Genomic DNA, 12,009 nt, shown 5'->3' on the forward strand with positions numbered 1-12,009 from the left:
CCAGTCAGCTGATTATCTGTAGAAGGAGATATCATATGTACCTTAGACAGTTGCTGTAAAGATCAAATGAGGTCCACACAAAAACTTCTTTTTTTTTTTTTTTTTGAGACGGAGTCTCACTCTGTTGCCCAGGCTGGAGTGCAGTGGCACAATCTTGGCTCACTGCAACCTCCACCTCCCGGGTTCACGCCATTCTCCTGCCTCTGCCTCCCGAGTAGCTGGGACTACAGGCGCCAGCCACCATGCCTGGCTAAATTTTTGTATTTTTAGTAGAGACGGGGTTTCACCGTGTTAACCAGGATGGTCTCGATCTCCTGACCTTGTGATCCGCCCACCTCGGCCTCTCAAACTGCTGGGATTACAGGCGTGAGCCACTGCACCCGGCCACACACAAAAACTTCTACACAAATGTTCATAGCAGCATCATGTATAATAGCCAAAAAAGTAGAAACAGATGTCCATCAATGGATTAATGGATAAATAAAAGATGATGTCCAGCCAGGCACGGTGGCCCATGCCTGTAATCCCAGCACTTTGGGAGGCCAAGGCAGGCAGATCACTTGAGGCCAGGAGTTCAAGATCAGCCTGGGCAACTTGATGAAACCCCGTCTCTACTAAAAATATAAAAATTAGCCAGGCATGGTGGCACATGCATGTAATTCTAGCTACTTTGGAGGCGGAGGCATGAGAATCACTTGAGCCCAGGAGGTGGAGGTTGCAGTGAGCCAAGATCACATAACTCCACTCCAGCCTGGGAGACAGAGTGAGACTCTTCAAAAAAAAAAAAGGTGATGTCTGTATAATGGACTATTATTCGGCCGTAACAAGGAATGAAGTGCCGATACATGCTACAACATGGATGAACTTTGAAAATATTATACTGTGTGCAAAGGAAGGTAGTTACCTTCCCGGGTTCAAGCAATTCTCCTGCCACAGCCTCCCCAGTAGCTGGGACGACAGGCGTCCGCCACCATGCCCGGCTAATTTTTGTATTTTTAGCAGGGACGGGGTTTCACTATGTTGGCCAGGCTGGTCTCGAACTCCTGACCTCAGGTGATTCACCAGCTTTGGCTTCCCAAAGTGCTGTGATTAGAGGCATGAGCCACCCCACCTGGCCTAGCAGAGAGCAATTTTGAATACAGCTGTTAGATTCTGCACTCATGCCTTCTCTAATCCATGTCACTGGAGTAGAAATAATTGCTTTGACAGAACCTGGTGTAGATGTGTCTGTAGGAAGAAACTGTAAAATGAATGGATCATTTTGTGAAATATCTGCCCTTTCCCCACCTTTCTTTTGCTTCTTTGCCTTTTTCTCCCTAGTTTTCATTTCTTTCTTTTAGGGCGTCAGCCCCCCACCTCTGTGGTTGGGAGGGACTATTGCACGTCTACACTCTCGTGGGGATGAAATAGTGTTTGAGTTCGTTATTTGCATTTGCGCGTTATCTCCCCGAGGAGATGACAGCTTCTCTGCCAGCAGCGGGCAAAGGTGGGCTCTGAAGCAGAGGAGAGGAATTATCAGGAAAAGCTCATTTTCTTCTCCTGTCCTAGGGTTTCACTGATGAAGGCCTCTGGGACACCCACGTTGGGGGTGGGGGCGGTGAGGACCGCCACCTGCCCGCGGCTCCCCTGCAGCCAGGCCACGCGCGCTGTTGCTAGGGCAACCACCCGGCCAGGCCTGCGGCTGCCGGGAAGCCCCCTCGGGAGCGCGCACGGGAAGGGCTGTGGGGGCGCTGGCCGGCTGCGACGTCAGACCCCCGCCCCTCGGCGCCTGCCGGACCCAGCTCCATTCCCAGCCGCGCCTCCTTCGGTGGGCAGCCGGCCGGAACTCACGAATCAGAGCAGCCGACACATCGTCCGCTCAGCCAATCGTAGCAGATGTGTGATCCCGCCACCTCCCCGGACCCTGGCGGTTGTCGCTGAGTTGGCGACCGCGGGAGACGCTGCTGAGGCGGCTTCGGTTGCGGGTCGGAACGGCGCTGCTCTGCGGGGCCGGTCCAGGCTGGCAGCTGCCGGCGCTTGGCGGTGAGGGCGGGCTCCCGAGTGGCCCCCCACCGAAGGCGGTGGGACCAGCGGCTGAGGCCAGGATGCCGTCCAGGCGGCGCGGCGGCTCCTCACTCATCCCAGGTAAGGGGGACGCGGCGCTCGCTGCGGCTCCGCTCCCCTCTCGTCTCCTCACACCCGGCCCTGTGCCCCGTCCTGGCATCCCTTGGCCCCTTGTCGCCTTCTGCTCGGTGCCTCCCGGTTGTCCAACCCCGCCCCCGAGCGCGGAGCCCCGGGTCTGGCCCGTCCGGCCCCTGCTCCCACGCCCCTTCCCCCATCGCCGGCATTTCCCGGGCTCGGCTTCGCCCCGGCCGCCGGGGCCTCTCCCCTCTGCCCTTTCTCTCCCTTCTCGCAGCCCTGGGACCACGTCCTAGCCCCGCAGTCCCCTGGGATGAGACCCTCGTCTCGCCGGGATCGGACATTTGCCCCCACGTCTACCCCGGCTGCGCTTCTTGAGCTCATCGCCCCATCATCCTACCCGTTGTACGTAGTCCTGTCTGCATGGCAGTCGCCCGCCCCGCTCCAGGTGTCCCTGGGTCTTGCCCTTTTGCTCCTAAGCACCTTCCTTTCCCAACTCGCCTCTTCTCCCCTCACTTTGACCACCCACCATCGCAATCTCCTCTTCCTTCTCTTACTCTTAAACCTCCAGACACTTTCCCACTCTCTGCAATGCCGGATTCATCGCTTTTTTTTTTTTTTTTTTTGAGAGATGGAGTCTCTATGTTGCCCAGGCTGGCTTCGAACTCCTGACCTCAAGCTATCCTTCTGCCTCGGCCTCCAAAGTGCTGGGATTACAGGCGTGAGCCACTGCGCCTGGCTCAGATCCATAGTGTAATATCTTCATTCGTCCTTACATGAGCTGCACCCCATAACATGTAAAGTCCCTTGCCCAGAGTCTAGCACACAGTAGGCCTGGCACATGGTGGGTGGTCACGCATGTTAGCCTCTTCCTCCTTCCAGGCGTTTTGTACTTTCCAGATGATGGTAGCAAGAAGTCCAGTGTCCACAGGGATTTGACTCTGCCTGAAGAATGGTATGGGAGATGGCAGGAGAAATTGGTGAACTCCAGTAAAGCGATTAAATGGTCAATTACTGCATTCATTAAGAAGAAACAATTCTGCTATCCGTGCCATGTATTGTTTTATGTTAATTGCCTTTGTAAAGGATTCTTAGGCTGCTAGTCAGCAGGCTTTGCGGTGTAATTACTCCCCATCCCCTCTCCATCCCCATCTGCAGTGTTTGGGTAACTTTCTTTTTAGGAAAGAAAGAGCCCCTACCTCCCAGCTAAAGTGGCATAGTATATAAGCAATGTGGTACGTGTTTATCTATTAGCTGGATAGTCCAGGGAGCTGCAATGAATTTTCATCTTTTAAGATCCAGGAGGAATCAGGATTTGGATTTCCTGGAATCAGCTGCTGTACAGACCAAATATGCTTAAGAATGAAACTTCTGACAAGTCCTCTAAGAGTGAGAGAGGAATTATCCACCCCTCTCCCTCCCCCTCTCCAAACACTCGCTCTTGGAGGAAATAGCGAGTCGATTTTTAAAAAAGAGTAAAATACGTTTGACTTTTTAAAATGATAAAAGCATTGTCATTGGCCCTGTACTATTCTTGCCACCTTTGCTCTGATGGTCTCAAGCCTGGACGAATCAGTCAGCTTTTTCTGCTCCTGGGCTCCCAAGGCAGACTGGCAAAAATCATATAACTAAACTGCTGGGTGCTGTTTCTGCACTTCTGGATCCTGGAGATCCTTTGACTTAACCTCTAGATTCCTCTTATGTCCTAAAATCTAAATGGCTGTTTATGGATCTTTACCATTTTTCTCTGACTCTTTGTCCTACTCTTGCCTTCTCTTCATTGCTTATTTTGCCACTTAACTTCACAGAATAAATTGGTGGGCATCAGCCCTGAACTCTTAAGGAGAGGTCATTTTTGTCTGTGCCTGTCTGTACCTGATTTCTAATATCCTTTCCTCTGATCTCAGAAGAAGAGGGGTCTTACTTTCGAAAGCTAACGTCTTTGATCTCTTCCCATATTATTATTTTTTCTGTTGGATGGTATACATCCTCAGGTTTCCACCATTCAGACCAAAACAAAGCTTTTCTTGATGCTTCCCTTTTCTTTTTTTATTCTTCTCAGATTAACGTGGCATTCCTTAGGGTTTCATTTTTGTTCTTTTCTCTAATTTCCTTGTGTGATTACACTTCCTTTCATGGCTTCAAATAGCACCTATATATTTATGGTTTTCAAAGACGTCTATTTAGTCCCCGTTTCTCTTGAACCTCAGGTTCTAATTTTCATCTGCCTACTGCATAGCTGTATGTGGATGCTTGATTACTTCAAATGTGGTTACCTTTTCCTTCCCTTTCTCTCCACCCATAGCCCCCTTTAAGCACATATACAAACATTACTATTTTAAGATCTTTACTCTAGAAACCTTAAAATCATCTTCTTTTCTCCTCACATTAAGTCTAGCATAGATCCTATTGTTGTTGCTACCTCAGATCTTTTTTTTTCCTCTCTTCATAACATCTTTTTTTTTTCTCTCTCTTCATTGCCAGAAGACTGGTTCAGACCTTGGTTATGCTTTTTCTGAACCTCTGGGTCCTGTAGTCTACTTAATCCTCCACGTTGCTGCTGGAATTGGTTCCATTTCTGAACTATCAATCTGATCATGCTGCTTGTTTTCTTTAAAAATTCTCATCAGCTCCCAAACCCTTAGCATGTTGAGCCAGTCCTTCCAAGCCTTCTGTAGCATGGGCGCATCCCCTTCCTGGGCCCTTTGTGATCCAGAGAAAAAAGCAGTAAAGAAACAGACCATTCACTACCGTAAAATCAAGACTGTGACAGAGATGACTACAGGGTGCTCTGGGAGCATCACCCTGGTGAGAGTGAGGACAAGTTTCTGTCTACAGGCACCTAGGACTTTTTCTGACTACCCCTCCTCCTTAGTTTGGGTTAGGTGACTTTTCTTTGTGTTTCCACAGCACCCTGTACATACTTCCATCTCCATTTTTACCACTTATACCATTTTTAGTTTTTTTTTTGTGACACAGTCTTGGTCTGTTGCCCAGGCTGGAGTGCAGTGGTAACATCTTAGTTCGCTGCAACCTCTGCCTCCAGGGTTTGAGTGATTCTCGTACCTCAGCCTTCCGAGTAGCTGGGATTACAGGCGCCTGCCACCACACCCAGCTAATTTTTGTATTTTTAGTAGAGACAGGGTTTCATCATGTTGGACAGGCTGGTCTCAAACTCCTGACCTCAAGCAGTCTGCCTGCCTCAGCCTCCCAAAGTGCTGGGATTACAGGCGTGAGCCACTGTGCCCAGCCCATTTTTACTATTTATAATGTTCTGTTTTCTTATTTTTCTCACTGACTTGAGAGTGAACCCTTTAAGAGAAAGAGTTGTGTCATATCTCATTGTATCTCCAGTTTCTAGCAAATTGCCAAGTACATAGTGCTCAGTAAACTAAGTTTTCAGAAGAGCTGAATCTAGACAAGGAAAGGTAAGGGGAGATGGGCAGTTTGGAAGAGAAGGTAACATATGGAAAAGTGTGTCTTAGGCTAGGCGCGGTGGCTCACGCCTGTAATCCCAGCATTTTGGGAGACTGAGGCAGACGGATCAAGACCATCAAGACCAGCCCGGCCACATGGTGAAACCCCATCTCTACTAAAAATACAAAAATTAGCCGGGCGTGGTGGTGGGCGCCTGTAATCCCAGCTACTCAGGAGGCTGAGGCAGGAGAATCGCTTGAACCTGGGAGGCAGAGGTTACAGTGAGCTGACTCCAGCCTGGGCAGCAGAGTGAGACTCCATCTCAAAATTAAAGAAAAAAGAAAAATGTGTGATAACCTGGTGCTTTTGGGAAAGAACTGGTAATTTGGAAAGGCTGGAGAATGGGCATAATGAGCAATGAGGCTGGGAAGGTATATGGGAGCCGCTCATGAATGACCTTGTGTGTCCTAACACATAATCCTGATGATAGCGAGGAACCTTTGAAGGATTTCTTCCTGGGCAGATCTTACAAAGTCTGGCTTGTTCCCATCTCAGGCTTTGTGTCTTGCTGCATGCCTTGCCTTTTGCCTCAGCCATATAAAATCACCTCTATTACCTGAACATGCCTAAATGGCTTTATGTTTCTCTTTCTCCGTGGAATGCGTTTTCCCACTTAGCCACCTGTAGATTATACAGGCTTCTGGTTATCTCTGCAGTAAAGCATTCCCACATCTGCCTGCAATCCATGTCTCTTCATCTCTACTGTCATTTACTTGTTTACATGTCTTTCTCTACTCTAAGGGTAGGGCTTTGAAATCAGGATGGGTTTTGATTCATGTCTGCATCCCCTACTCTGGCAGGTAACATGAATGAGTATTGTGACCAGGTATATTTTGATTATGTTTATTTATTTTTCTAGAGATGGGAGTCTTGCTATGTTGCCCAGATTGGTCTTGAACTCCTGGCTTCAGGTAACCCTCTGCCTTGACTTCCCAAAGTGTTGGGATTATGGGTGTGAGTCACTGCGCCTGGCCCCAGGTGTATTTTCAGAAAAATTACTCTGATCTCTGGTAGCATTGTAGAGAACAGGTTAGAGAGGGGCAAGACTAGGTGCACAAAGACCAATAGGTGGTCATTATAGGAATGTAGGTGAAAGATAATGAGGCCAGTGAGGCTAAGGGGTTAGATTTGGGAGTGAATTTGTGGAGTAAGGAGAACTGGTTAGGTGTATAGGTGAGAGAGAGGGAGAAGGAAGGGTCAAGGATGACATACTGAGTTCAGGCTTGGGTGTCTGGGTAATGGTGGTTCTGTTCATCCAGGTAGGAAATACAGGAAAATAAACAAATTTTGAGGGAAAAGGAGGAAGCCAATGATAACATCTTGATGCCCAGGAAATCGCCTGAGAGAGCAGTTGGCCCTAAAGATGGAGATATATATGGAGGGTCTGTGCTAGAATTGAAAGTGAAGTCATCAGAAGTAGGTGAGATTGCCTGGTTCAGTGATTTTCAACATAGGCACTACTTAAAAACCACCTGGGGAGCTTTTAAAGAATGAGGATGGGGGATCGAGGCATCCACAGGGATTCTGTATCATTTGGTCTGGTGCAGGGCCAGACCTTGTTACTTTAAAGATGCTTCCCATGAGATGGTGATAGGTATCTAGGACTGAGAACTGGGCTGAGAGCCCAAAGAGGGAGTGATAGAACCCTGAAGAACAATAGTAGTAACTCATCCTTTAAATATCAGGACAGCTGGGTGTGGTGGCTCACACCTGTAATCCCAGAGTTTGGGCAGATTGAGGTGGGAGGATTGCTTGAGACCAGGAGTTTGAGATCAGCCTGGGCAACATAGCAAGATCCCTGTCTCTACAAAATAGGAAAAAACTAGCCAGGCACATGTGATGGCACATGCCTGTAGTTCCAGCCATGTAGAAGGCTGAGGCAGGAGGATTGCTTGAGCCCAGGAGTTTGAGGCTGCAGTGAGCTATGATCATGCCATTGCTCTCCAGCCTGAGTGACAGAGTGAGACCGTCTGTCTGTCTGCCACACACACGCGCGCGCACACACACACACACACCAGGATAAATATTGCCTTTGTTGACATAGTTTCTTGCTTTCCTGGTACTGTGTACATTTACCTATTAAAGGAGTTATCACATTTTATTTAAATTATATCTGCTGGGTCCATTTTTATTTTTATTTTATTTTTATTTTTTTTTTGAGATGGAGTTTCGCTCTTGTTGCCCAGGCTGGAGTGCAATGGCGCGATCTTGGCTCACCGCAACCTCCGCCTCCCAGGTTGAAGCAATTCTCCTGCCTCAGCCTCCTGAGTAGCTGAGATTGCAGGCATGCACCACTACGCCCAGCTAATTTTGTATTTTTAGTAGAGACGGGGTTTCTCCATATTGAGGCTGGTCTCGAACTCCTGACCTCAGGTGATCTGCCCACCTCAGCCTCCCAAAGTGCTGGGATTACAGGTGTGAGCCACCACGCCCGGCTGGTCCATTTTTATAGCTAAGGAATTCCTTGAAGTCTGAAACCATGCCTTATTTATCTTTTCATCACTGCCTTGCACAGTACTTGATACATTTTAGAAACTTGATAAAAGTTGGTTGAATAAATCAGTTGATAAGTGATATAAAACAGAGCTTGAACTCATGATTTTGCAAACTGACCAGCTGTTTCTTTCTTTCCTGCTTAACAAGTCACTGGTCAAATATGCGTAGTCATTCTTGTTTTAAAAACACACAGTCTTGCCGGGCGCAGTAGCTCATGCCTGTAATCCCAGCACTTTGGGAGGCCAAGGCAGGGGGATCACGGGGTCAAGAGATGGAGACCATCCTGGTCAACGTGGTGAAACCTGGTCTCTACTAAAAATACAATAATTAGCTGGGCATGGTGGTGGGTGCCTGTAGTCCCAGCTACTCTGGAGGCTGAGGCAGGAGAATCCCTTGAACCCGGGAGGCGGAGGTCGCAGTGAGCCAACATTGCACCACTGCACTCCAGCCTGGCGACAGAGCAAGACTCTGCCTCAAAAAGAAACAAACAAAAAAACCCCGAAACAATCTTTATAAATTAGAGTGGATTAATATAAATATTATTTGCTCTGTAATGTCTTGGCTTTTAAGGTGGTTAAGCTGTGACAGTTACTACAGAGGTTTATTCAGGCTTTGTCTTTAGAAGATACTATTTAAAATAGACTTTATTTCATACGATTAAGGTATATCGATCTTGTATCTTTTTAAAACAAATAGCTCTTGATTTTAGGCTCATGAGCTTTGGAATTTTTAACTAGAACAAAAACTGTCAATTTGATAAAAGATCTTGAACAGTGGCATAACAATTTCTTTTTAACTAAGAAAATTAAGGAAGTAAGGAATATGCCTTAAGCAAGCCCTATACCTAAATGAATCTCACTGGGATTGGTGATGGGTAGGAAGAAATAAATAATTCCCATGTATTTAAGCACTGTTGTAGGAAGCACCTGTGATTGCTCATATATTGATATCAGTGTATTTTCTTTTCTTTTTTCTTTTTTTTTTTTTTGAGACAGAGTCCTACTCTGTCGCCCAGGCTGGAGTGCAATGATATGATCTCGGCTCACTGCAACCTTCGTTTCCCGGGTTCAAGAGATTCTCCTGCCTCAGCCTCCCAAGTAGCTGGCATTACAGGCTCCCGCTACCAGGCCCAGCTAATTTTTGTATTTTTAGTAGAGACGGGGTTTCACCATGTTGGCCAGGCTGGTCTCGAACGCCTGACCTCAAGTGATTCCCCCACCTTGGCCTCCCAAAGTGCTGAGGTGTGAGCCACTGCGCCCGACCTCAGTGCATTTTCTATTTTCTGATTTCTCAGGGCTTAGATATAAACCATGGAATCTTTTGTTCTTTGTTTTTTCTTAAGATTTTGTCAGCTGTTTCTTTTTATAGGATTTGTGGTTGACAGTTCTTTGCTTTTAACATTTGAGAAATGTTGAGAAACTTTTTTCAGATAAGAAACCCTGTCATTAGAATTCATTTTCTTATAGGTAACATCCTTTCTCCCCAACTGCTTTAGAGGTTTTTTCTTTGTCTTTAGTTTTCAGAAGTTAAATTATGATGTGTCTGCACGAATTTCTTTGGGTTTTTCTGTTTGGAGTTCTCTTAATTTCTTGAGCTGCAGATTTGTCTTTTACCACATCTGAGAAGTTTTCAGTCACTTCTTAGAATAATTTTTCAGTACCACTCTCTGTCTCCTTTCATTCTGTGACTGAATGTTAGATCTTTTGTTACTGTCTCACAGGACGTAAGGCACTATTTTCTTTTAATTTTTTTCCAGTCTTATTTTTTTGTCTGTTGTTTAGATTGGGTAATTCTTGTTTCAAGTTTATTGATTCTTACCTGTGTTATATTCATTCTGCTGTTGAGCTAACCCACCGAGTTATTATTTTGGTTGTTTTTCAGTTCTATAATTTTTATTGGGTTTTTTGTCTATTCTACTTCTTTGGTGAGATTTTCTATTTTGTCATTTGTTTAAAGAGTGTATGTAATGGCTTGTTAAACAATAGGCTGGGCGCGGTGGCTCACGCCTGTAATCCCAGCACTTTGGGAGGCCGAGGCGGGCAGATCACGAGGTCGGGAGATCGAGACCATCCTGGCTAACACGGTGAAACCTCGTCTCTACTAAAAATAAAAAAAATTAGCCAGGCTTGGTGGCGGGTGCCTGTAGTCCCAGCTACTTGGGAGGCTGAGGCGCGAACCCAGGAGGCGGAGCTTGCAGTGAGCGGAGATCGTGCCACTGCACTCCAGCCTGGGAGACAGAGTGAGACTCCATCTCAAAAAAAAAAAAAAAAGAATAATGGCTACTTTAAAATCTCTGTCAGATCATTCCAACATCTGATTCATCCTGTTGTTGGCATCTGTTAATTGTCTTTTCTCATTCAAATTGTGGTTTTCCTGGTTCTTGCTACGATGAATGACTTTTGACTGTATCTTGGACATTTTGGATATTAGGAGTTATAGATCATATTTAAACTTTATGTTTTAGTAGACAGTCACCTGAGAAGGAGCATGTAGCTCCCAGCCTGCCTTTTGTTTCATAACAGCTTTATTGAGATATAATTCACATGCCACATGTTCAACCATTTAAAGTGTAAAATTCATTTACTTTTAGTATATTCATATAGTTGTACATCATTACCACAATCAATTTTAGAACATTTTTACTACCCACAAAAAAACCATACCACACACTCCTTAGCCATTATCCTCAACTCTCCTACTCTTCATCCTCTCCATCCCTAGGCAACCACTAATCTATTTTCTGTCTTTATAGATTCATATTATATAGAATAGAAATATCTATTTTGAGCACATAATAAAGACAATCATATATAATATTGTCCTCCTTTATTTCATTTTTAGAGTAATATATACTATTACCCTATATTAACTATTAATATTTACTAATTTTTTTGTAATTTTAAAGTATTTATAAGTATAAATATAAATTATATTTATTTATAAATAGTGAGCTGCAATTTATTTTTGTAGTGTTTTTGGTTTCAAAATCCAACTAAAATTGGCTGTATATGTAATGAGTTCGGAAGTGTCGTTAAGAATTGGTGTTGCTGGTGCAGTGACTGATGCCTGTAATTCCAGCACTTTGGGAGGCTAAGGCAGGCAGATTGCTTGAGCCCAGGGGTTCAAGACCAGCCTGGGTAACATGATGAAAGCCCGTCTCTATAAAAAAATATGAAAATTAGCATGGCATGGCGGCACACACCTGTAGTACCAGCTGCTTGGGAGGCTGAGGCAGGAGGATCTCTTGAACCTGGGAGGGGAGGCGAGATCCTGCCACTGCACTCCAGCCTGGGCGACAGTGTGAGACCCTGCCTAAAAAAAAAGCCACCAACAAAAATATATATATAAATATATAATATGCATTTAATATGTTTTTAAATATGTATTATATATTTATATGTATATTTTTATTGGTTAAAATATATATTTTTATAGATATACATTTTATATAATATATATTATATATTACACTAAATAATTTATAAGATATATGCATTAACTATATAAATATTAATATGTTTTAAATATATATTTAATATATTAATCTATATTATATTAAATATATTTATATATATATGTTTTTTGAGATGGAGTCTCTCTCTGTCACCAGGTTGGAGTGCAGTGGCGCGATCTTGGCTCACTGCAACCTCCGCCTCCCGGGTTCAAGCCATTCTCCTGCCTCAGCCTCCTGAGTAGCTGGAACTACAGGCACGTGCCACCAAGCCCGGCTAATTTTTGTATTTTTAGTAGAGACGGGGTTTCACCATGTTGGCCAGGATGGTCTCCATCTCTTGACCTCATGATCTGCCCACCTCAACCTCCCCTCCCAAAGTGTTAGGATTACAGGTGTGAGCCACCATACCTGACCCTAATATTATATATATGTATATATATATATTTTTTGAGATGCAGCCTTGC

General features: G+C 45.2%; 1 protein-coding gene across 13 annotated transcripts in view, besides 2 other annotated features; it reads left to right on the plus strand.

Moving 5' to 3' along the window:
* Positions 1-12,009, plus strand: part of TPST1 (tyrosylprotein sulfotransferase 1) — a 161,654-nt gene that overhangs the window by 4,609 nt on the left and 145,036 nt on the right. For 7 of the 13 annotated variants that reach the window (XM_017012726.3, XM_017012727.3, NM_003596.4 and 4 more), the window contains exon 1: positions 1,936-2,124. The exons of 2 other annotated variants lie outside the window; for them this stretch is intronic. The gene's annotated coding sequence lies outside the window, so the exon portion shown is untranslated. Of the gene's footprint in view, positions 1-1,935; positions 2,524-12,009 lie in introns of those variants that run through there. 4 more of the 13 variants (XM_047420960.1, XM_047420962.1, XM_047420958.1 and 1 more) reach the window with 2 other exon arrangements.
* Positions 1,559-1,828: a silencer, noted in NCBI's record as "silent region_18204". NCBI's record gives its function as "represses an Ori minimal core promoter by ATAC-STARR-seq in GM12878 lymphoblastoid cells {active_cell/tissue: GM12878}" and the evidence as "EXISTENCE:reporter gene assay evidence [ECO:0000049][PMID:35858748]".
* Positions 1,979-2,338: a silencer, noted in NCBI's record as "silent region_18205". NCBI's record gives its function as "represses an Ori minimal core promoter by ATAC-STARR-seq in GM12878 lymphoblastoid cells {active_cell/tissue: GM12878}" and the evidence as "EXISTENCE:reporter gene assay evidence [ECO:0000049][PMID:35858748]".

This window comes from Homo sapiens, chromosome 7, assembly GCF_000001405.40.
Source record: "Homo sapiens chromosome 7, GRCh38.p14 Primary Assembly".
In the NCBI taxonomy this organism is placed as follows: domain Eukaryota; kingdom Metazoa; phylum Chordata; class Mammalia; order Primates; family Hominidae; genus Homo; species Homo sapiens.